A 24,683-nucleotide genomic window follows, 5' to 3' on the forward strand; every position below is an offset into this window, starting at 1 on the left:
CAGTGAGTGAGATTGCGCCACTGCACTCCAGCCTGGGCGACAGAGGGAGACTGTCTCAAAAAAAAAAAAAAAAAAAAAAAAAAAGTACCTGGTGCATAGTAAGCACTCAAATTATTTCTATTCTTCCTAACTTTATTCTGCTGAAAAAAAATTCACTTAATACCATGAAATGAGAGACGGAATAAATTTTATATATTATACTTACATGCATGGTTTAAAACAGAAAATGTGCCAGACCTCCTTACTTAAATATATTTAGGTGACAATTATGAATATTTGGATTCAGAGTTGCCAAACACCCCCATATGCTCATCATTGGACTGTGGCAGCATAATGTCTAGTTTTCTACTTTGGTTTATTTACCACATGATAATTTTCTTCTTATTTATTGTTTTTTTTCTAAGACAAAGTCTAGCTTTGTCACCTAGGCTGGAGAGTAGTGGCACACTCTTGGCTCACTGCAGCCTCCTGGGTTCAAGCAATTCTCCTGCCTCAGCCTCCCAAGTAGCTGGGAGTATAGGCACCTCGCACCACGCCTGGCTAATTTTTTATTTTTAGTAGAGCGGGGGTTTCATCATGTTGATCAGGCTGGTCTTAGACCCCTGACCTCAAGTGATCTGGATAATTTTCAATTATAAACCAGTGGCCGGGCGCGGTGGCTCATGCCTGCAATCAGCACTTTGGGAGGCCGAGGTGGGCGGATCACGAGGTCAGGAGATCGAGACCATCCTGGCTAACACGGTGAAACCCCGTTTCTACTAAAAATACAAAAAAATTAGCCGGGCATGGTGGCAGGTGCCTGTAGTCCCAGCTACTCGGGAGGCTGAGGCGGGAGAATGGTGTGAACCCAGGAGGCGGAGCTTGCAGTGAGCCGAGATGGCGCCACTGCACTCCAGCCTGGGTGACAGAGTGAGACTCTGTCTAAAAAAAAAAAAAAGAAAACCAGTAACCTAAATCTCATGGTTGTTATCAGGCTAGTGAAAAGACTCATCAGTTTAAGAAAATGCTCCCTGAAAAGCTGTTTCACAAAAGCTTTTTGAAACACAAAAGACCCTTCCAATTTATGAAGACGCTGCTTCATTTAGTGGGATTTTATCACCAGTCAACTAAATGTTCTTCCCTCAACATCTTCCATGACAGCCATCCATACCTCACCTCTTCTTCATTTAGATAAACCAGAAAAATATCCGCAGCTGACAGTAAAGAGAGACCTAGCCTTCTGGTGGGTTTCCCAGTAATTCTGTCTCTCAATTTCTCCACACAATATTGTGATATAGAAAATCTATTGAGATTCTAAGTTAGATGTGGCTATCTTTAGTTCTGATTTTCTACTTCATGTTTGTCAAAAGCTATTGTATTACCTATATTTTTCCTTCAGTTCTTTTTGAGACAGGTTCTCACTCTGTCATCCAGGCTGGAATGCAGCGGCGTGATCTTGGCTCACTGCAACGTCCACCTCCTGGGCTCAAGCGATCCTCCTCCCTCAGCCCCCCAAGTAGTTGGGACTACAGGCGTGCACCGCCATGCCCGGCTAGTTTTTGTTTTTTTTGTAGAGACAGGGTTTTCTCCATGTTGGTCAGGCTGGTCTCGAACTCCTGACCTCAGGTGATCTGCCCACCTCGGCCTCCCAAAGTGGTAAGATTATAGGCATGAGCCCCCATGCCCTGGCCTTTGTCTTCAATTCGTAAGTAAACATCTCATTTCATGTAAAACTCACTCCATGTACTCCTATAGAAGCCCTTTTTGGATGATTCTCAGAGTATGCTGGAGAAATACTTCCTTCAAATCAGTGGTTCTTTTTTTAAAACAGGGTCTCACTCTATTGCCCAGGGTGGAGTGCAATGGTGCCATCACGGCTCACTGCAGCCTCAACCTCCCGGGCTCAGGTGATCCTCCCGCTCAGCCTCCCAAGTAACTGGAACTACAGGTCCATGCCACCATCCCCAGTTAATTTTTCAATTTTTTGTAGAGATGGGGTATCGCTGTGTTGCCCAGGCTGGTCTCAAACTCCTGGGCTCAAGTGATCTTCCCACCTCGGCCTCCTAAAGTGCTGGAATTACAGGTATAAGCCACCACATCTGGCCACCAGTGGTTCTTAAAATGCACATATACACAACATGTTGAATAGACGTTTAGGAGTTGATGTCCACCCCCTGCCCCACCCCCGAAGCCCATCCAGTATGAAAACTAGCCAGCAAGGCAGCAAAGTTCACTTCAGAAATGCAGATTCTCTGTCACAGTTTATAATTATGAACACAACACACACAAGTATTTCCAGTTGTAAAGGTCCCTCCCACCTTCACCAAAGCCAGCCGGATGCAAGAACGCCTGGTCTCCTTACCACAGAGCCGGTGGAGGGACTTCTCTGAGTAGGTGTCTCGGTCGCAGCCTTTCCCTATGTGGCTGGTTTCTAGCTCCACTGTGGCCTGTACTGAGGCGACTGGCTCGTCACATGTCTCCAGGTGGATATTTGGAAAGACGGCCAACGCGCCGGTGCCCGGCTCATACTCAATCCTGTTGTTCCATCCTGTGTTGGTCCACAAGTCAGCAGGGGAAGAGAGAAGGAAAACACACACTCTAGGTTGCTGCCGCATACATCAGTTTTAAGAGCAGATGTGAGCGCAGGGGAGAGAATGAAGCTCACCTTGCCACCCAGGGGTGCAGGTGGGCTTAATGCTGATCTTCACCAAAACATCTTCTGTGGCTCTTTTCTTCCCACAGTCATAGGCAGTGACGGTCAGCTTATATTGATGTTCTTTCCCGTAGTTTAATTTCTCTGTGTTTTTTATATAACCTTACAGAGGGCAAAAACAACAGTGAGAGCCAAAACCCATGCTGGTTTTACTTTTGTTGTCCTAGGCGGAAAGACAAAATGCATAGGCTTTAAGCCCTGTAAATACTCAGCCAGAAATAAACATATGCTTGGGATGCTTAACCCTCAACCTGTCCTCCCTGAGCCCTAACACGCACTAAATCCATCCTGAAGAGTTTCAACAGAAGAGACGGAGCTACACAGCTCAGTCTCCACTTACTCTCACAGTGTTACATTGGGCTTTACATTAAGATTTAACTGTTTACATACATTCAGAGGATTAAAAAATAATAATAATTCAAGTACCTCAAATATTAAATATAAGATCGCTGATCAAACATTTACTATATTAAAAGAAAGAGAGATTTCCTACCCCCACCTGCTTAGAACAGAAGCCTGCTTTTTGAACGTGGTGAGTATAGATCTCTGGAAAGTGTTTGCAATGTCCATAATTCCATCAAAGATTCTAGACCGTGCATTGATTAACAATGGAAACACTGTATTATCTTTTTTTTTCTTTTTGGAACAGGGTCTCGTTCTCTTGCCCAGGCTGGAGTGCAGTGGCCTGATCTCGGCTCACTGCAACCTCTGCCTCCTGGGTTCAAGCGATTCTCCCACTTCAGCCTCCCAAATAGCTGGGACTACAGGTGTGTGCCTGCAGTCCCAGCTACTAGCGAGGCTGTGGCGGGAGGATCCCGTGAGCCCAGGAGTTCGAGGTTACAGTGAGCAGTGACTGCACCACTACATTCCAGCCTGGGCGACAGAGCAAGACCTTCCCTCAAACAAAAAAAAAAAAAAAAAAGATGTCACAGGAGATTCTAACTTAATGGAGAACATGGCCAGGCGCGGTGGCTCACACATGTAATCCCAGCACTTTGGGAGGCCAAGGTGGGCGGATCACCTGAGGTCAGGAGTTCAAGACCAGTCTGGCCAACATGGTGAAACCCTATCTCTACTAAAAATACAAACAACAACAACAAAAAATTAGCTGGGCGTGGTGGTGGGCACCTGTAATCCCAGCTACTCGAGAGGCTAAGGTAGGAGAATCACTTGAACCCGGGAGGCAGAGGTTGCAGTGAGCTGAGATCGCACCACTGTACTCCAGCCTGGGGAACAGAGTGAGAAACTGTCTCAAAAAAAAACCACAAAAACAAAAACAAAAAACTTAATGGAGAACAGAAAATGAGACAAACTAAATGTAAAGGTCAGTCTCATTCAGATGCATGTGGACTGAAAGTTAAGAAGATTAAAAAAACAAAGCCATGTCAGGTAGGAGGATTTTTATTTGATTTTGGTGGGAAAGCAAAAAAGAGGTGAGCCCCACAAGAGAACACAGGACTTACAGGTTCCAGAGAAGAAGTTGTCAGGGAACAAAGTAGAAACTTAAATGTTTTTACAATTAAAAGCAAACACACACCAGGTTAGGTCTCCAACTTGTGAGTTCCATGAAGTTCTGACGAAGCACAGAAGCTGGGGTGTAAAGTCAGTGGGGTTAGCAGGGACTGTCTACCTAGCTGAAAAGCCGGCTCCTCGATTCTTACCATCTTTGTCAACAGTAAAGGGCACGTCTGGAGTGATGATTTCGTAGCTGCAAATCTGGCTGAACTGAGGGGAGCAGTCGGCATCCACGGCCTCCACCCTCAAAATGCTGTCGTACTGCTTCCCCTCGATGACCGTGGCTTTGTAGGACTTCTCCTTGAACACGGGCGCGTACTCATTCACGTCGTTCACCTGAATATGAACAGTTGCTCTGGACAAAGGGAGGGAGAAAAATATTTTTCTGCTTGTTTTCAGTGTGAGAGAGAGACAGAGAGTGTGTATGTGTGTTTACCCAATTCTGCCCTACTTTAAAATTTCCTGTTTCTGATACCTTGTTTCATGAAATTCATATGATGAAGTCAAAAATTAAACAAGCTATTCACTGCTTTTCATTCAAGTGTGGAGATAACAGAAAGTTAAAAGAGGGATTTGGGTCGATTCTTCCATATCCTAAGAATAAAGCAAAAAACCAATCATCTAAAATAAAAGAGACTTGGGTGTTTTTTTTTGACAATATGGGACAAGACAGGCAGAAGGGAGATAAACAATACCAGACGTCTGTTTGCTCTCCAATTATAAAGTTGAAACATATTTTGTAGCAAAATCCAGAAAAAAAATAGAGCCAAGGGAAGAAGGGGTATGAAACAGAGAAAGCATGAAATGGTTTGATTCTGAGAGTTCAAACGAATTCTGTCCTACTTCTAGGGAATAGGCTGGAGTCCATGGCATCACCTGGTCCTGATTCAACAAATGGAAGAGTTCAGGAGAGGCAGGCCGTTGCCACCTGCCAATACCCCAGCTCAGTTATCAAGAAAATTAGGGTGTCATCAGACCTGGCTACAAATAAAAAAAACTGTAGGTTTCAAGGGCTAATGGTCAGGGCATGCTTCTGAATCAGTCAAGGACTTTGGTCAAAATCTGACCTTTTCAAGGGAAACAATAACATTACACTGTGGAAAAAGAGAAGAGACTCACTGGGGCACTGCACCTTCTGCTCACCATGAGCCTCCTCATCCCAGTGCCATCGGTCTGACCCTCACAATGGGTTATGTGACACCATCTCGCCCACATACCCTTCTTTAGTAGATGTGCTAAGTAGAAACTGAGACTCAGGGCCGGGTGTGGTGGCTCACACCTATCCCAGCACTTTGGGAGGCTGAGGCAGGAGGGTCACCAGAGGTCAGAGTTAAAGACCATCCTGGCCAACATGGTGAAACTCCGTCTCTACCAAAAATACAAAAATTAGCCAGGTGTGGTGGAGCGTGCCTGTAATCCCAGCTGCTTGGGAGGCTGAGGCACGAGAATCGCTTGAACCCTGGAGGTGGAGGTTGCAGTGAGCCGAGATTGTGCCACCGCACTCCAGCCTGGGTGACAGAGCGAGACTCTGCCTCAAAAAATAAGTAAATAAATAAATAAATAAAACAAAAGAAAAAGAAACAGACTCAACAAAATTAAATTTGCACAATGCCAAAGGGCTAGCAAGTGGTGGAGAAAAGACTAGAGCTCTAGAAAAGACTAGAGCTTACAATCTAATTGTAGAAGACACTGGACTTGAGAACACCAGCAGTCCCCAGCCTTTTTGGCACCAAGGACTGATTTCATGGAAGGCAATTTCTCCACAGATGGGGGTGGGAGGATGGTTTTGGGATGAAAATGCCCCACCTCAGATCATCAGGCAGTCGATTCTCATAAGGAGCGCACAACCTAGATCCCTGGCATGCTCAGTTCACAACAGGGTTCGCGCTCCTGTGAGAATCTGATACCGCTGCTGATGTGACAGGAGGTGGAGCTCGGGCAGAAATGCTCACTCGCTCACATGCTGTTGACCTCCTGCTGTGTGGCCTGGTTCCTAACAGGCCACGGACCAGTACTGGCCCACGTCCTGAGGTATGGCGACCCCTGTTCTATGTTGTCTTGTCCAAAGCCCTCTCTGCTACAACTGCAGTTCCTAACTGGCAGGAGGTGCAGCAACACACTCAGGATTGTGGCAGCGAGCCAGCCTACTTCCACCAGCAGTGACTAATTTTTTTTTTTTTTTGAGACGGAGTTTCATTCTTTTTGCCCAGGCTGGAGTGCAATGATGTGATCTTGGCTCAGTGCAACCTCCACCTCCCAGGTTCAAGTGATTCTCCTGCCTCAGCCTCCCGAGAAGCAGGGACTACAGGCGCGTGCCACCATGCCTGGTTAATTTTGTATTTTTAGTAGAGACAGGGTTTCTCCATGTTGGCCAGGCTGGTCATGAACTCCTGACCTCAGGTGAAAATCACCTCAGGTGATCTGCCTGCCTCGGCCTCCCAAAGTGCTGGGATTACAGGCGTGAGCCACCGTGCCTGGCCAATTTTTGTTGTTATTGTTTTTTAGGGACAGGGTCTCATTCTGACACTCAGACTGGAGTACAGTGGCACAATCATGGCTCACTGCAGCCTCAACCTCTCGGGCTCAAGCAATCCTCCCGCCTTAGCCTCCCAAGTAGCTGAGACCACAGGCATGTGCCACCATACCTGGCTGTTTATGTTTTGTAGAGATGGCATCTCCTACATTGTCTAGGCTGCTCTCAAACTCCTAGGCTCAAGCAATCTTCCCACCTCAGCCTCCCAAAGTGCTGGGATTATAGGTGTGAGCCACTGCACCTGGCCAACAATGATTAAGTTTATGCCCTTAGGAATTACAGCAAAAGATAAATATGACAACAAAATAACCTTCCTAAGGGAGAAGCAGACTTTTTCAATTTTTAATGTAGGGCCTTTACTTCTTTAATAGAGTATTTGGTGTGATAAAATTATTCACTCATTCATTTATTAAAAACCTAGGCCGGGTGTGGTGGCTCACGCCTGTAATCCTAGCACTTTGGGAGGCCGAGGCAGGTGAATGATGGGGTCAGGAGTTTGATACCAGCCTGGCCAACATGGTGAAACCCGTCTCTACTAAAAATACAAAAATTAGCCAGGCGTGGTGGCAGGCACCTGTAATCCCAGCTACTCGGGAGGCTGAGGCAGAAAAATCACTTGAAACCGGAAGGCGGAGGTTCCAATGAGCCAAGATCGTGCCACTACACTCCAGCTTGGGTGAAACAGCGAAACTCCATCTCAAAAACAAAACACAAAAAGGCCAGGTACGGCTCACGCCTATAATCCCAGCACTTTAGGAGGCCCAGGCAGGCGGATCACCTGAGGTCGGGAGTTTGAGACCAGCCTGACCAACATGGAGAATCCCCATCTCTACTAAAAATACAAAATTAGCTGAGCGTGGTGGCGCATGCCTGTAATCCCAGCTATGTGGGAGGTTGAGGCAGGAGAATCGCTTGAACCCAGGAGGCGGAGGTTGCGGCGAGCCAAGATCATGCCATTGCACTCCAGCCTGGGCAACAAGAGCAAAACTCCATCTCAAAAAACAAACAAAAACAACCCCAAAAAACCTAATATGCCTAATGTGAGCAAGGCTCTTGCTAGAAACTGTATACAAGGGTAGAGAGACATGATTCCTGCCCTCCAAGTGTTTACAATCTAATTGTAGACACTTGAGAACTATCTTCTGCCTATTTCAAAAACAGTCTTGGGGAGCAGGCAATAGTCACTACTATTTTCGTTCTGCGCACACACGTTTACTCGGTGGGTTATGTTCACTCTTTGTCCAGCTTACTTACTTATGAGACTTTTTCACGTTGGTGCCATCAGGTCCCTTCCCACAATCATAGGCCTGGATGGTGAATGAATAGTCTTTCTGCAGCTCACAGTCCAGTTTCTCTTTGGAGCGAATGACTCCCTCACCAGTGGATTTATCCACTACCACTGCATCAAAGGGGACATTCTGCCCGTGAATTTTAAATCCACAAATCTCACCTAGGGAGTCAAAGCAGAACAGGTAAGAATTCCTACCACATAGATCTTCTGCACCTTGCCCTCCTCCCCCCATCTCCACCCCCAAAGAAAATAAATGACAACAATTTGGCAGCCAGGGGTTTGGAGGGTCCGTGGACAAAGCAGGGGCACTGTGTTTTAAACATGGGGAAGTTCTCGGGCTTTAGTAAGATGAAGCAGATTCTGGCTTTCCAAGCAACTTGTTTACTTTGCATCCATTCATGCAGGAATACAAAAGAGAGAGAGAAGAAAATATAGACAGGCATTCCACAGGAGCACTTAGATAGCTCGAGGGTAAAAGGAGTCTCATTAGCACACAGCCAGGCCTGAGAACACCAGCGCTGCCCCAGCTCCTGGGAGGGCTGGCAGCCAGTTTGATTTGGACCAGAGAGAAGCTAAAACGCAGTTATGTGTTGAGAGAGGAGGAAGCGTGAGATATAGGATCAGCACCGTAATTACAGAAATTCTGTCAAAAAAAAAAATCAAAGGAAACAAGTCTTCCTGTGCAATGAGCCTGGCTAAAATTAGGGAATCAAAACAAACTACTCAATGAGAAAGGTAGAAATACCGACTCGTCAGGCATCCATTTCAACAGCTATTTTATCATCTACGATTCAGACACAGTTTCTATTATGGGAGGGACTGGCTAGACTTGCCTTTGTTTCGGACTTTATCCTATCAAACCTGAAAAAGACACCAGCCTGGGAACTTCTCTACATCTAAATTGGCTCACAACTTAATTAGGAGTTAAAAATCTATGTTTCCATTCTTGTCCATGGGAGAACAGTATAAATGTTTTGATGTCGATGTGAAACTCCACAAAATGTATTTCACATGAAAATAAGACTGCACTCCTTCCACAATTCCAACTAATAGAAAATTGTTATAAAGCAAATCTCTGAAGTTCTATTAAACAAAAATGTACAGTGTTATCCATACAGTTCAAATGGATGTCTGATTTCCAGATATTTCTAACCAAGGGTCTGGTTACATACAATTTCCATCAATATACTTTAAAATAGAAACAAAGTAGGAGAATAAATAAGGATAAAAGAGCATGACAGTTTCTCCTGTTTAAGGGCTGATTCCCAATTTTATAAACAAAGTTAGTGGGTTAATATTCATAAGAGGGGAAGAAAGAACCCTTTATCACCTTCTTTGGTGACTGTCACCTCAAAACTCTCTAAAGGGAGAAAAGATAAGCCCATGTCAGTAATACAGGAAAGAATGAAGATGGAATACACTAAGGAAAAAAGTCAAAGGTGCACATATTACACATTTCCACACCAAGCTCAGCGACCGGCTTCTACGATTGCTACAGCAAAACCTAATCTTCAGGAACAAAATGTCACTTTGAATCCAACTTACCATGAACTACTGCATAATTCTGAAGTTATTAATTTAGGGATGAAATACTCCTACATGAAGTGTCCTAACACCCTCAGGGGTCATTAGGATTTTTCTTTTTTTTGAGACAGAGTCTCGCTCTGTCACCCAGGCTGGAATGCAGTGGTGCTATCTCGGCTCACTGCAAGCTCCGCCTCCTGGGTTCACCATTCTCCTGCCTCAGCCTCCCGAGTAGCTGGGACTACAGGCGCCCGCCACCACGCCCGGATAATTTTTTGTATTTTTAGTAGAGACAGGGTATCACCATGTTAGCCAGGATGGTCTCGATCTCCTGACCTCGTGATCCGCCCACCTCGGCCTCCCAAAGTGCTGGGATTACAGGAGTGAGCCCCCGTGCCCGGCAGGATTTTTCTTTTAATGAACACTCTAGTGACAAACCATGAATAAGTACATCTATTTGTTATTTTGCAGTTTTCAGATGTTCATTTCCAACCTAAATTCTCTCAGCTAGATTCTGGTAACATTCAACTCATCAGTAGATTTAATGAAACAAAAATTTGGAGCAAAAGGTTTTTTTTTTTTTTTGAGATGGAGTCTTGCTCAGTCGCCCAGACTGGAGTGCAGTGGCGTGATCTCGGCTCACTGCAAGCTCCGCCTCCCTGGTTCACGCCATTCTCCTACCTCAGCCTCCCGAGTAGCTGGGACTACAGGCGCCCGCCACCACGCCCAGTTAATTTTTTGTATTTTTAGTAGAGACAGGGTTTCACCATGTTAGCCAGGATGGTCTCGATCTCCTGACCTCATGATCCACCCGCCTCGGCCTCCCAAAGTGCTGGGATTACAGGCGTGAGCCACCGCACCCAGCCGAACAAAAGGTTTTAACCCTTTGTTCTTGAACTGAAAAAAATGACAATATTTTTCTAATCCAAAGTACCCAACCAAGGCAACAAATATAAACCCCTCTGCTAATGGAACATCTGCTTAAATGTGAATAGAAACCAGATTCAAAACTAACTGTAGGGATGCTACAACAGTCACTGTTCTCATTACATGAAAGCTCTGTTCTACCAAGTCAATATATATCCTGCTTATAAACCCTTTACTATGGAGGAGTGGAAATGTGAAGAGATCAGGAATTTCGCTGCCCCTCAACACACTGGGCCCTCACTGGTGGCACCTTCTCTCCCCCAAAGGTAACACGACCTGAATTCCCTTGCTTTGCTAATAGTGCTACCATTTATTCTCCCTGAACAGTGTTGTTTCATTTTGCTTGGTTTTAAGGTTTTAAAAATGGTATCACATGGCATGCAGTTTTTTGTTTGTTTGTTTTGGGGGGGGGTGGGAACGGAGTTTCACTCTTGTTGCCCAGGATGGAGTAACAAGATCTCGGCTCACTGCAACCTCTGCCTCCCGGGTTCAAGCGATTCTCCTGCCTCAGCTTCCTCAGTAGCTGGGATTACAGGCATGCACCACCATGCCTGGCTAATTTTGTATTTTTAGTAGAGATGGGGTTTCTCTGTGTTGGTCAGGCTGGTCTCGAACTCCTGGCATCAGGTGATCCGCCCGCCTCGGCCTCCCAAAGTGCTGGGATTACAGGCGTGAGCCACTGCGCCCAGCCCACGTGCAGTTTTTATGACTTGCTTCTTTTTCTTTTTTTGAGACAGAGTCTCACTCTGTTGCCCAGGCTGGAGTACAGTGGTAGCATCTCAGCTCACTGCAACCTCCACTTTCTGGGTTCAAGCGATTCTCATGCCTCAGCCTCCCAAGCAGCTGGGATTACAGGCGCCTGCCACCAAGCCTCGCTAATTTTTGTATTTTTAGTAGAAATGGGATTTCACCATATTGGCCAGGCTGGTCTTGAACTCCTGATCTCAAGTGATCCGCCCGCCTCCGCCTCCCAAAGTACTGGGATTACAGGCGTGAGTCACCGCACCTGGCCATGACTTGCTTTTTCATGCAACTTTGTGTATCTAAGATTTATTCATCCTTGCTGGTATAGGTAGCTATAGTTTATTCATTTTCACTACTACCTAACAGTGAGAATCCACGGGTCAAAACATGTAAAGTGCTTAAAACATTGCCTGGCGGAAAGAGAGCACTTAACAAATGTTTGCTATTATTACAATCATTTTCCACTGTGTGAAAATGCCATCAGTTGTTCCTGCTGTTTAAAAACAATGGTGTCATGATTATTTCGGTCCCTGCTTGCTGCTGCACGTCTACAAGAGCCTCTGTACGCCTGTGCTGCCTAACATGGCAGCCACTAGCCATGTGGGGCTGTTCAAATGCAAATGAAAATTCAAGCTAAAAATCAAACAATGTGAAAAATCCAGTTCCTCAGTTACACTGGCCAGTTCTCAAGGGCCCAGCAGCCACATGTGGCTGGTGGCTGCTGCAAGAAGACAATGGACGCAGAGTGCTCCCCTTGGCACAGCAAGTCCCACTGGACAGAGTTGCTTTGAATTAGGGGTCTGCAAACTGCCGTTTCCAGAAAGTCCAACCTGTTCCTGATTTTGAAGAGCCCACACACTAAAAACAATTTTTAATAGTACTTCATAACATGAGAAAATTACATGAATTTCAAATACAAATACAGTTTCTTTTTGTTTGTTTGTTTTGAGATGGAGTCCTTGCTCTGTTGCCCAGGCTGGAGTGCAGTGGCACGATCTTGGCTCACTGCAAGCTCCACCTCCCGGGTTCACGCCATTCTCCCACCTCAGCCTCCCGAGTAGCTGGGATTACAGGTGCCTGCCACCACACCTGGCTAATTTTTTTGTTATTGTATTTTTAGCAGAGACGGGGTTTCACCGCGTTAGCCAGGATGGTCTTGATCTCCTGACCTCATGATCCGCCCGCCTCGGCCTCCCAAAGTGCTGAGATTACTGGCGTGAGCCACCGCGCCTGGCCTCAAATACAGTTTCTATAAATATATTTCACTGGAACACAGACATGCTCATTTGTTTAATGTATGGTCTCTGCTTTCACACTGCAAGGGCAGAGGTTGTTGCAGAGTTACATCATTGCGAAAGAGATCCGAGGGGCCCCAAAGCTTAAAATAGTCCCTATCTAGTTCTTCACCGAAAAGGTTTGCTGATCTCTGCTCTAGAGAGACACCCACGAGTAAAACTGCCTGGTATCAGATGTGTCCAAATGTTTTCCAGGATGTGCTAACTCACAATATTACATGTTTTGATGCATATTAATACTGCATAATACATTTTAAAGTAATTTAGGTTGCCCAGCTTTAATTTGGATAAAACTTCTCAGTTTTTGACTTGAGTTTACTGTGGAATAGCGAGGCAGTTCCACATCATCTGAACTGACATTAATGACAGTGACTGTGGTGTGCTTTCCTGACACAGGTCTCTCCATAGGTAAGTGCAGATTTCCTGCTTGTTGGTTGGTTGTTTTAGAGACAGGGTTTCCCTCTGTTGCCCAGGCTGGAATGCAATGATACAATCCTAGCTCTCAAAATAATCAATATTCTGAGTATTGACATTGGCTACTTTAATGAGTTCCACCAACAGGATATGGTGCCTCAAATCCACCAGTACTTATTCAATTGCTAGTCAGGCTGGCTCCTTTACCTACAAGGACTTAAAAAACCAACTCGCCAGGTTGGTAGTTCAAGGTGGCAGGTGCAGTGTGGGCTTTGCAAAACTCAGGCAGACCTGGGTCTTCCACACCAGCCTTGCAACCGAGCCCATCACTGCAGAGCCTGCTGAGCCATCTGCAGGGTCAGCCAGTACGCCTACCTCAAGGGGCCATTTGTGCATTCAACCTAAAACTCTACTTTTAATAAGGAAGACGGATCGGACTGGAGCAAGACAGGGGCTACCACAGTACCTCTGATGAGATACAATGAGGGCTGAACTAGGCACTGTCCCAAGGAGACATTTAAGGGATTTTTAGGGGAATAGATGGGACCTCCACCTCCTGAGTTCAAGCGATTCTCCCACCTCAGCCTCCCGAGTAGCTCAGACCACAGGTGCATGCCACCCATTCCCGGGTTTTTTTTTTTTTTTTTTTTTTTGGCTACAGGTGAGGTTTCACCATGTTGCCCAGGCTGGTCTTGGACTCCTGAGCTCAAGTGATCCACCTGCCTCAGCCTCCCTCAGAGCTGGGATTACAGGCATGAGCCACCACGCCCGCCCCAGTTCATGGTAGTCAAATGCATGCTACGGCACCATCACATACGAAGGTGCAGCTCCACCACTCGCTATCCTAAACTCAGCCTCTCTCAAACTCAAACAACCTCATCCGTTGCAGGGAAGGACCTCTCAGAATTGCCTCTCACATCCCAGTTCCTTTCTGCCCTGCTCCCTCCCACTCAATTCAGCTGGCTCTGTTACGCAAATCTACCTAAAACCCTGCTTTTATCAAGCTGAAGACACCCAACCAGGTTTCCCAGACAACCTCTCCAGTTAGGCTCTCCTAGGAATGGGCCAAATCCTTCCCAGTCTCTTTCCCCAAACCTTCATTCCCCTAGGAGATCATCTAAAATGGTCAAAAGGAACTTTACTTAAGAAATTTGAGGAGCAGGCCTGGTAGGTCACACCTGTAATCCCAGCACTTTGGGAGGCTGAGGTGGGTGGATCACCTGAGGTCAGGAGTTCGAGACCAGCCTGGCCAACACGGTGAAATCCTGTCTCTACCAAAAATACAAAAATTAGCTGGGAGTGGTGGCGTGTGCCTGAGGTCCCGGCTACTTGGGAGCCTAAGGTGGGAGAATCACCTGAGTCTCGGATGTTAAGCCTGTAGTGAGCCATTATCATGCCACTGCACTCCAGCCTCTGTACTCTGGGCGACGGAGTGAGACCATGTCTAAAAATTTTTTTAAAAATTTTTTTAAGGAATTTTTAAAGCAAAACATAAAAATATGAAAAATGGATGAACCCAACAAAGTATGGATTTGACTTCTGGATATCCAAAGTCACGTGCAGGGTTCTCAGCTGACAGCACTTTGCCCTCACTTTCCTCATCTGTGCCTTTGACAAACCCCAGCTTTAGGCTGGCCCTGCTGTTCTTTCGAAGTCTTCTTCCTAATCTGAGGATGGCCCCTCCTACACACGTCTCCCAGCTCTCAGGGGACCCTGCCCTTATATTGCAAATGTTTCCTTTGCTCCTTACGTATAACAGCTAAGGTTCTCTGATTGTAAGCAACAGAAATCCTTTCTAGGTAACTTAGCAAAAGGAAACTGATTGGAAAACTATCAGGAACTCATGGAACTGACTGTAGGCCAGAGAAAGGGACTTGGAAACAGGTGGAAGCCAAGGCGGCTGGAGACCAGGAAACAGGAACCGCAACAGTCCCACTGCAGAACAGCCTGGACAGACAGACCCGAACCGCAACTATTCTTAGCATCGCTGTCGCTCCACTCACCATTCAAACTTCAGGGAGGGGCACCTGTTCACTTGGCTAGGGGAAGCTGGGTAACAGGTTGTAGATCCACTGATCTGTGCCCAATGGGAAACGGATCACGGGGCTGTAAAGAAGAGAAAATGGGCCGGGTGTGGTGGCCCACACCTGTAATCCCAGCATTTTGGGAGGCCAAGGTGGGTGGATCACCTGAGGTCAGGAGTTCGAGACCAGCCTGGTCAACATGGTGAAACCCGTCTCTACTAAAAATACAAAAATTAGCCGGACATGGTGGCAGGCACCTGTAATTCCAGCTACTCAGGAGGCTGAGGCATGAGAATCGCTTGAACCCGGGAGGCAGAAGTTGCAGTGAGCCGAGATCACGCCACTGCACTCCAGCCTAGGCGACAGAGCGAGACTCTGTCTCAAAAAAAAAAAAAAAGAGAAAATGGACACTTGCCAAGCAGCGACTATCCACTTCTCCCCGCTGCACTCGGCCTTGGTGCCCACACTCAACGGCTCCGCTCCACTCGGCCTTGGTGCCCGCACTCAACGGCTCTGCTCCACTCGGCCTTGGTGCCCGCACTCAACGGCTGGGTGTCCGGGCTGTCCCTGACGTTGGGTGACCTCTGGCTTTCTTGCCAAGCAGCGACTATCCACTTCTCCCCGCTGCACTCGGCCTTGGTGCCCGCACTCAACGGCTGGGTGTCCGGGCTGTCCCTGACGTTGGGTGACCTCTGGCTTTCTTGCCAAGCAGCGACTATCCACTTCTCTCTGCTCCACTCGGCCTTGGTGCCCGCACTCAACGGCTGGGTGTCCGGGCTGTCCCTGACGTTGGGTGACCTCTGGCTTTCTTGCTTACTGGTCCAGGCTAGTTTCTGGAATGAGCTCATACGTGTCTCTAATCAGCAGTTTTTTCGGGGTACCTTTTTTTTTCTTTTTTTTGGAGACAGAGTCTCGCTCTGTCACCCAGGCTGGAGTGCAGTGGCACAACCTCAGCTCACAGCATCCTCCACCTCCTGCGTTCAAGTGATTCCTGTGCCTCAGCCTCCCGAGTAGCTGGGACTACAGGTGCACACCACCACGCCTGGCTAATTTTTGTATTTTTAGTAGAGACAGGGTTTCACCATGTTGGCCAGGCTGGTCTCAAACTCCTGACCTCAAGTGATCTCCTTGCCTCGGCCTCCCAAAGTGCTGGGATTACAGGTGTGAACCACTGCACCCGGCCTAGGATACCTTAAATATATGTAACAATAACCACAGACTCCAAGAGTTACGCTCTCGCAAGTTCCTCACTGACTACAGCAGTGGCTCTCAAATTCTAGTGTGCCAAAAATGGTCTGTGACGCTTGTTAAAAATGTGGTTTCCAAGCTCCATCCCCAGAAATTCTGACTTGGTGGTTCTAGGGGCAGAGCCCAGTGATCTGCATTTTGAGCAAGCACTGCCAGATGACTCCAACACAGACAGTCTGCAGACCTGGGAAGGTGGCCCATTGGGGGTTTGCAAACCTAGCTGGCTGGTATGGATTTCTCAGGTGCCACTCCTGGAGGTACAGACTAGGCAGCTGAGCATGGAGCTCAGGAACCTGCACTCTACACCAGGGCCCCAGGTGATCCAGACATAGCATTGGAAAACCCCATGCATCCATTCAGCCTAGCAATGGAAACCATGTGGACTCAAGTTGACTTCAATCCTGTGCTCCTCTATACCCCACGCCACACAAGCTGACCTGGTCACCTACCCTGGGAGGCCCTTCCAGTTCCCACCTCTGCTCCCACCTCTCCCCTCTCTTCACTGCCTATGCAAACTCCACCCACCCTTTACAGGACTCAAGCCCTGTAAACCACTGTAGAACCACTTCTGGGCTATCTCAGCCCATTCAGTGTTGCTACAAAGGAAGACCTGAGGCTGTGTAAGTTATAAAGAAAAAAGGTTTCTTTGGTTCACACTTCTGATGGCTGGAAAGTTCAAGGTTGGGCATCTGCATCTGATGAGGGCCTCAGGCTACTTCCACTCACTGCGGAAGGCCAAGGGGAATCGTGTGTAGAAATCACATGGTGAGGGAGAAAGAAAGAGAGAGAGAGAGAGAGAGAGAGGGAGAGAGAGAGGTGGGTGGGGGAGGAGGAGGAGCAACCACAGGCTCTTTTTAGCAATGAGCTCTTGTGGGAACTAAAAGAGTGAGAATTCACCCACTACCCCCCACCCCACCACCTCACCCCCATAGCCAGGGACAACATTAATCTATTCATGAAGGATTCACCCCCTGTGACCCAAACACCTCCCATTAGGCCCCACCTCCAACAATGGGATCAAGTTTCAGTTAGGGGCACCATGGCTCATGCCTGTAATCCCAACACTTTGGGAGGCCAAGGCAGGTGGATCACTTGAGGTCTGGGGTTCAAGGCCAGCCTGGGTAACATGGTGAAACCCTGTCTCTACTAAAAATACAAAAATTAGCCAGGTATGATGGCACAGGCCTGTAATCCCAGCTACTCGGAAGGCTGAGGTGGGAGAATCGCTTGAATATCTGAGGCAGAGGTTGCAGTGAGCTGAGATCCCGCTGCTGCATTCCAGCCTGGGTGATGAAGTGAGGCTCCATCTTTAAAAAAAAAAAAAAAAAAAAAAAAAAAGTTTCCACATGAGGTTTGGAGGGGACAAACATCCAAACTGCAGCACTTGCCTCCTTAGCCCACACCATCGTTGCCTCTGTCACTTGGGGCTGAACTACAAGTTTCCTAGTATCCTTTGCCAATCTTGGTTTGGCCCTCTTACCCACATTATCAGTGGCTTTGAAAACAGGAACCAACTTTTACACTTTTTTTTATCATCTCTGGAAAACCTAGCATAGCTACCTAGTATTTAATCATTACTGATCCCAAACTCTTCCTGGGTGGTGTCTACATCCAAAATGGGTCCATTCAAGTCAATCACGGTTAATAAGAAGCACCTGTCCTAACATTCAGCTACTTACTTAAAATTGTTACTCAATGCATTATTGCCTTCGATTAAGCTGAAGCATGTGAAATGTCATTTTTTTTTCAAATACCTTAATATTTCAACATTTAAAAAAATTGGGCCAGGCGCAGTGGCTCAGGCCTGTAATCCCAGCACTTTGGGAGGCAGGCAGATCAACTGAGGTCAGGAGTTCAAGACCAGCCTGACCAACATGGAGAAACCCCATCTCTACTAAAAATACAAAATTAGCCGGGCGTGGTGGCGGGCGCCTGCAATCCCAGCTACTCGGGAGACTGATACAGGAGAATCGCTTGAACCCAGGAGGCGGAGGTTGCGGTGAGCTGAGATCGCGTCATTGCACTATAGCCTGGGCGACAAGAGCGAGACTCCATCTCAGAAAAAAGAAAAAATTGGCCTGGTGCGGTGGCTCAATCCTGTAATCCTAGCACTTTAGGAGGCTGAGGCAGGGGGATCTTGAGGTCAAGAGTTTGAGACCAGCCTGGCCAATATGGTGAAACCCTGTCTCTACTAAAAATACAAAAATTAGCCGAAATCACTTGAACCCGGGAAACGGAGACTCCATCTCAAAAAAAGAAAAAAAAAAATGGAGGCCAGGCGCCGTTGCTCCACCTGTAATCCCAGCACTCTGGGAGACTGAGGCAGGTGGATCACCTGAGGTCAGCAGTTTGCGGCCAGCCTGGCCAACAAAGCGGAACCCTCCCTCTACTAAAAATACAAAAATTAGCCGGGCGTGGTGGCGGCGGGCGCCTGTAATCCCAGCTACTCAGGAGGCTGAGGCAGGAGAATCGCTTGAACCCGGGAGGTTGCAGTGAGCCAAGATCGCGCCACTGCACTCCAGCCTGGGCGACACAGCGAGACTCTGTCTCAAAAAAAAAAGGCAATTTCATGCAGGTCAACCAATTCACTGCTGCAAGCACAAGGTCAGCTCAGTTACATGTGCTAAAAAAGCAAAACTGGGCAGTGAAATGCAGCAGTTAACCCCACTGGCCACCCTCAGGGCATGTGAATCACATTCATAACAAAGAATACAGACAAGAGTATCACAGGGCTCCTCGGTGGGCTCTAACTGACTATCAATGAAAACTAAGTTCCCATTCTTGCCCTGAAACTTCTTTTGGATTCTATTTGTATCATTATGGTTCAACCAATCTTGTAAAACATCCATACTTAATCTGGAAAAGCAGGAAAGAGATTGCTAGAACACCACCACCTCCTAGAAGGAGGAGCTCTGAAGAGGAAACAAGAAGAGGAGGCACGGCTTCTGACAAGAACAGAATGCATCATCTTCAAGGCCCCAACCCTGTGGCCCACACATGAGGCTCAAGCTGGTAACTCTCCACGAAATATATAAAATGTAAACAAAATAGGCCGGGCGCGGTGGCTCACGCCTGTAATCCCAGCACTTTAGGAGGCCAAGGCGGAGGATCACTTGAGGCCAGGAGTTCGAGACCAGCCTGGCCAACATGGTGAAACCCCGTCTCTATTATAAATACAAAACATTAGCTGGCTCGTGGTGGTGCACGCCTGTGATCCCAGCTACTCGAGAGGCTGAGGCATGAGAATTGCTTGAACCCGGAAGGCAGAGGTTGCAGTGAGCCGAGATCGCGCCACTGCACTCCAGCCTGGGTGACAGAGCGAGACCCTGTCTCAAAAATAAATAGATAAATAATAAAATACAAAAATTGTTTTCTGACCCATGACTACTCAGGCTTTCAGCAGATTAAAGAGAAGGCGCAGAACAAGAAACTGAATCATTTAAATTTCCTAAAACACTTGACAAATACCAAGACTCTGTATCAGAATTTCACCCCAAGGAAACAATCCGGGCGAGACTGGATCTTCATTGTGAATGTCTGATTAGTGATGACTTACAAGGAGCTTCAATGACTAAGCTCCCAGCATTGCATGTGCATTCATTTCAGAGCTCTAACAAGTGAACTCCTGTGGCTACCCACACACACATGCCTTGTAGTGGGATCACACTATGAACTGGAATGTTCACACAGTGAGCTGGGCCCAGAGGCGGCTCTGTCACTTATGAGCTGTGTGATCCTGGGTAAACTCATCTCCTCCCTCTACAAATATCTATGGAGTGACTGTGTTCCAGGCACTGACGGAGGTTTTGGGGATAAAATGGAAAACAAAGTAGCTTCTCCTGCTGTCACGCAGCTGGCAGACACGCTGAGCCTGGTTCCTCACCTGGAGAACAGGGACAGTGGGCATGTCTACTGCGTAAGATTGGAGAAGAGAGGCTGGGCGCAGTGGCTCACGCCTGTAATCCCAGCATTTTGGGAGGCCGAGGCGGGCAGACTGCCTGAGCTCAGGAGTTCGTAACCAGCCTGGGGAACACGGTAAAACCCCGTCTCTAATAAAAATTACAAAAAATTAGCCAGGCATGGTGGCATGCACTTGTAGTCCCAGCTACTCGGGAGGCTGAGGCAGGAGAATTGCTTGAACCCAGGAGGCGGAGGTTGCAGTGAGCCGAGATAGCACCACTGCACTCCAGCCTGGGCAACAGAGCAAGACTCCATCTCAAAAAAAAAAAAAAAACCTGCTGAAAAGAATCGGAGAAAGTAACCCACACCGGGCCCTCAGAGCAACCTCTGCCACACTGCAGGCACTCAATAAACGTTAGATGCCACCACCATCACCACCCTCCTCCTCAACATGGTGCGAAATTAAACTCAATGTCATCACCCAAATCAATCTAAGATGAAAATAAGGCTCCAGGTCTAGCCTCTGTCTTATCCAAAAAATACTTAAGAAAGTCTGTAAGAAAATGCAACACTATAACGACTTTTGTAGAAAGATGAAAAAATATTTCTCACAAAATGTTAAGTGAAAAAATATTTTTAAAAGATTCTATTAGTAGTAATAACAGCAGCGGCAAATACTGTAGGTGGTAATTACTGTACCACCCACTGTTTAAAGCTCTTCACACGTATGAATAAAGAAGCTAACATTCCCCCAAACCAATGAGGTCTGTGACATTAATGAGGTCTGTGACATCTTATCCTTTTACAAATGATGAAATGGAGGCACAGAAAGGGTAAGTAATTTGCCTAAGGCCACACAGCCAATAAGTAGCAGAGCTACGATTCACTCACTGGTCCCTCGGCTCTAGGGTCTCTGTTCCTGACCTCCCTTGCTCAGTCTCATAGGGTCCTGTTCTGTGCTGGGTGGCACCATGGGGGCGGGGTTGTCCTGGACGGCACCATGGGGGCGGGGTTCTGTGTTCGGTAGCACCATAGGGATGGGGTTCTATGTTGGGCAAGATCATGGGGGCGGGGTTCTGTGCTGGGCGGCACCATGGGGGCGGAGTTCTATGTTGGGCGGCACCATGGGGGCGGGATTCTGTGTTGGGCGGCACCATGGGGGCGGGATTCTGTGTTGGGCGGCACCGGGGGGCGGGGTTCTGTGCTGGGCGGCACCAGGGGGGCGGGGTTCTGTGTTGAGCGGCACAATGGGGGTGGGGTTCTGTGCTGGGTGGCACCATGGGGTTGGCGATCTGTGTTGGGTGGCACCATGGGGGCGGGGTTCTGTGCTGGGTGGCACCATGGGGGCGGGGTTCTGTGCTGGGTGGCACCATGGGGGCGGGGTTCTGTGTTGGGTGACACCATGGGGGCAGGGTTCTGTGTTGGGTGGTATCATGGGGGCGGGGTTCTGTTAGGTGGCACCATGGGGGTGGGGTTCTGTGCTGGGTGGCACCATGGGGGTGGGGTTGTGTTGGGTGGCATCATGGGGGCGGGGTTCTGTGTTGGGTGACACCATGGGGGCGGGGTTCTGTGTTAGGTGGCACTATGGGGGCGGGGTTCTGTGTTGGGTGGCACCACGGGGGTGGGGTTCTGTGTTGGGTGGCACCAAAGCAACAGAAGAGGGAGGGAGGGAGGAAGCAACACAGGGAGAAAGTAAAGGAGAAAGGGAAAGAGGGAGGGAGGGAGGGAGGAAAAGGGGGAAGGAGGGAAGAAGGGATGGAAGGAGTGAGGGAGGGGGGAACAGAAGGAGGGAATGAGGGAGAGAGGGAGAAAGGGGAAAAGGGAGGGAGGGAGAGGGAGGGAGAGAGGAAGGAAAGGACAGAGGGAGGAAGCGAAGGAGGGAAGGAGAGAGAGAGGAAGGAAATGAGAGGGAGAGAGGGAGGGAGGAAGGGAGGGAAGGAAGGAGGGAGGGAGGTAAGGAGGGATACGGCTGCAGGTCAGGTGCTCCCTCCCCCCCATGCAGCTGCCCACTCCTCCAGCAGAGGACCCCACGCTTCAGTCAAGGGGATCAGTTGCACTCCTGTGTGTATACTAAAGGACTGAAAACCTATGTCCACACAAAGACCTGTACAGGAATGTTCACAGCAGCATGACCCATAATAGCCAAAAAGTAGAAGCAACTCAAATGTCCATCAGTGGATGAACAGAGAAACAAAATGTGATCTACTCATAGAATGAAATAATATCCAGCAACAAAAAAAGGAATGAGGGGCTGCTAGGCACCTAACACAGGTAAACTGTGAAATCACCATGCTGGGAGACGCCCATCACAAAAAGCCGTACAGTGCATTTACATGATTATCCAGAATAGAGAAATCTGTAGTGGTAGCCAGGGCTTGGGAGTGAAGGAGACTGAGGGATGAGTGCCACTTGGTGCAAGGGTTCCTTTTTGGGGTGATGAAAATGTTCTGGAGTTAGACAGTGGTTGGCAGGTGCATGGTTTTTGGAACATTCTAAAACTCAATGAGCTGTACACTTTAAAAGGGTGATTTTTTGGCAGGGCGCGGTGGCTCACGCCTATAATCCCAGCATTTTGGGAAGCCGAGGCAGGCAGATCACGAGGTCAGGAGATTGAGACCACGGTGAAACCCCATCTCTACTAAAAATACAAAAAATTAGCCGGGCGCGGTGGCGGACTCCTGTAGTCCCAGCTAATCGGGAGGCTGAGGCAGGAGAATGGCGTGAACCCGGGAGGCAGAGCTTGCAGTGAGCCGAGATCGCGCCACTGCACCCCAGCCTGGGCGACAGAGTGAGACTCCGTCTCAAAAAAAAAAAAAAAGGGTGATTTTTGTGGCATATGAATTATCTCCAAAAAAGAAAAAAGAAAGAAAAAATATTATATGAGTAACTGTGCTTCCCCCATGAAAATATCCAAAAGGAAAATATTGACTTATCTATCCACTATGGCAAATACAACCAAGTTACCACTATAATTGGATTTAAATTGCTTTTCTATACAGTTAAAATACATATCACAACATATAATTTTTGTACATCAGTAAAAAAAACCTGAGAATCTCTAAAAAATAAACTTGTATAAGTATTATTTCATCTAGAATATCTTAAGTTTGAGAAATACACAATAAAATTAAATACAGTAAGAAAAAAATATTTCATTGATAAGACTTTTTCTTTCAAAGTTAACACTCGGCGTACATTTCATTTCCTACTTCCTTGTGAACTTCGTGCAGTTAAAGATGTAGCTACGTCATCGTAGCAGGCAGCTGTCCCGCCTGGGCTGGAGCCCTGCCTCTGCACCCCCCGACCAGCTACACGCCCAGAGCAATAGCTTAACTATTCTGTGCCTCCGCTTCCTGCCTTTAATGCAGAAAAGCGTATTTATTATCTTATGGTTATTGGGGATTAAATACAAATTTATATTTGTACAGTACTTAGAGTAGTGCCTGGGACATTGCTATGCATGCTTTATAAGTGCATGCATTATTGGCTGGGTGTGGTGGCTCACGCCTATAATCCCAGCACTTCGGGAGGCCAAGGCAGGCGCATCACCTGAGGTCAGGAGTTCAAGACCAGCCTGGCCAACACGGTGAAACCCTGTTTCTAATAAAAATACAAAAATTAGCAGGGCATGGTGGCGGGCACCTGTAATCCCAGCTAATGGGAGGCTGAGGCAGGAAAATTGCTTGAATCTGGGAGGCGGAGGTTGCAGTGAGCCGAAATTGCACCACTGGACTCCAGCCTGGGCGACAAACTGAGACACCGTCTCAAAAATAAAACAAAACAAAATAAAATAAAATAGTGCATCAATTATTAACAACATAGTAAGATCACACTGCACGAACAACAGGACTGCTGATACTTCAAAAGGCAAAGGAGGACCTGAGGGAGCAAATACACAAGCCTGGACTGCAATCACTTCTTGAAATGCGTAAAACATCAGTAATGTATATAAAACTGCTCAAAAACATAAACTAAATAATTCTGTTAAAATGATCTATCCACTAGCACTTTGCAAGGCCAAGGCAGGTGGATCACCTGAGGCCAGGAGTTCGAGACCAGCCTGAACAACATGGTGAAACCTCGTCTCTACTAAAAATACAAAAATTAGGACGGGCATGGTGGCTTAAGCCTGTAATCCCAGCACTTTGGGAGGCCAAGGCGGGTGGATCACAAGGTCAGGAGTTCAAGACCAGCCTGGCCAATATGGTGAAACCCCATCTCTACTAAAAATACAAAAATTAGCTGGGCGTGGTGGCAGGCACCTGTAATCCCAGCTACTCAGGAGGCTGAGGCAGGAGAACTGCTTGAACCCGGGAGGCAGAGGTTGCAGTGAGCTGAGATTGCACCACTGCACTCCAGCCTGGGTGACAGAGCAAGACTGTTTCAGGAGAAAAAAAAAATGTGGGGGAAAAAGCAAAAATAATCACCCTGGCAACTGGACAAATGCTGTGTGTGTGTTCACGGCATGGGGTACTGCCTCTACTGTCCTTTTCATCAGAATTCTCTCTGAAAATTAATAAACACACAAAACAACTTGGGAGGCTCTATCTTTACAGCACAAGCTGGTTCACGGGTG

The 24,683-nt window shown here is 47.5% G+C and overlaps 1 protein-coding gene across 4 annotated transcripts in view, besides 1 other annotated feature; it reads right to left on the bottom strand.

Annotated features, from left to right (window-relative positions):
* Window positions 1-24,683, bottom strand: part of CLSTN1 (calsyntenin 1) — a 95,601-nt gene that overhangs the window by 18,194 nt on the left and 52,724 nt on the right. For 2 of the 4 annotated variants that reach the window (NM_001009566.3, NM_001302883.1), the window contains exons 3-7: window positions 9,362-9,391; window positions 7,995-8,190; window positions 4,354-4,562; window positions 2,645-2,794; window positions 2,342-2,527 (exon numbers count right to left, since the gene is read on the bottom strand). In NM_001009566.3, the coding sequence (NP_001009566.1) occupies window positions 2,342-2,527; window positions 2,645-2,794; window positions 4,354-4,562; window positions 7,995-8,190; window positions 9,362-9,391 (771 nt within the window). The remainder of the gene's footprint in view (window positions 1-2,341; window positions 2,528-2,644; window positions 2,795-4,353; window positions 4,563-7,994; window positions 8,191-9,361; window positions 9,392-24,683) is intronic. The other 2 variants (XM_047449470.1, NM_014944.4) reach the window with 1 other exon arrangement.
* Window positions 20,898-21,098: a silencer, noted in NCBI's record as "peak58 fragment used in MPRA reporter construct". NCBI's record gives its function as "represses an SCP1 promoter by STARR-seq MPRAs in K562 erythroleukemia cells {active_cell/tissue: K562}" and the evidence as "EXISTENCE:reporter gene assay evidence [ECO:0000049][PMID:32103011]".

This window comes from Homo sapiens, chromosome 1 (assembly GCF_000001405.40).
Source record: "Homo sapiens chromosome 1, GRCh38.p14 Primary Assembly".
NCBI classification, from domain to species: domain Eukaryota; kingdom Metazoa; phylum Chordata; class Mammalia; order Primates; family Hominidae; genus Homo; species Homo sapiens.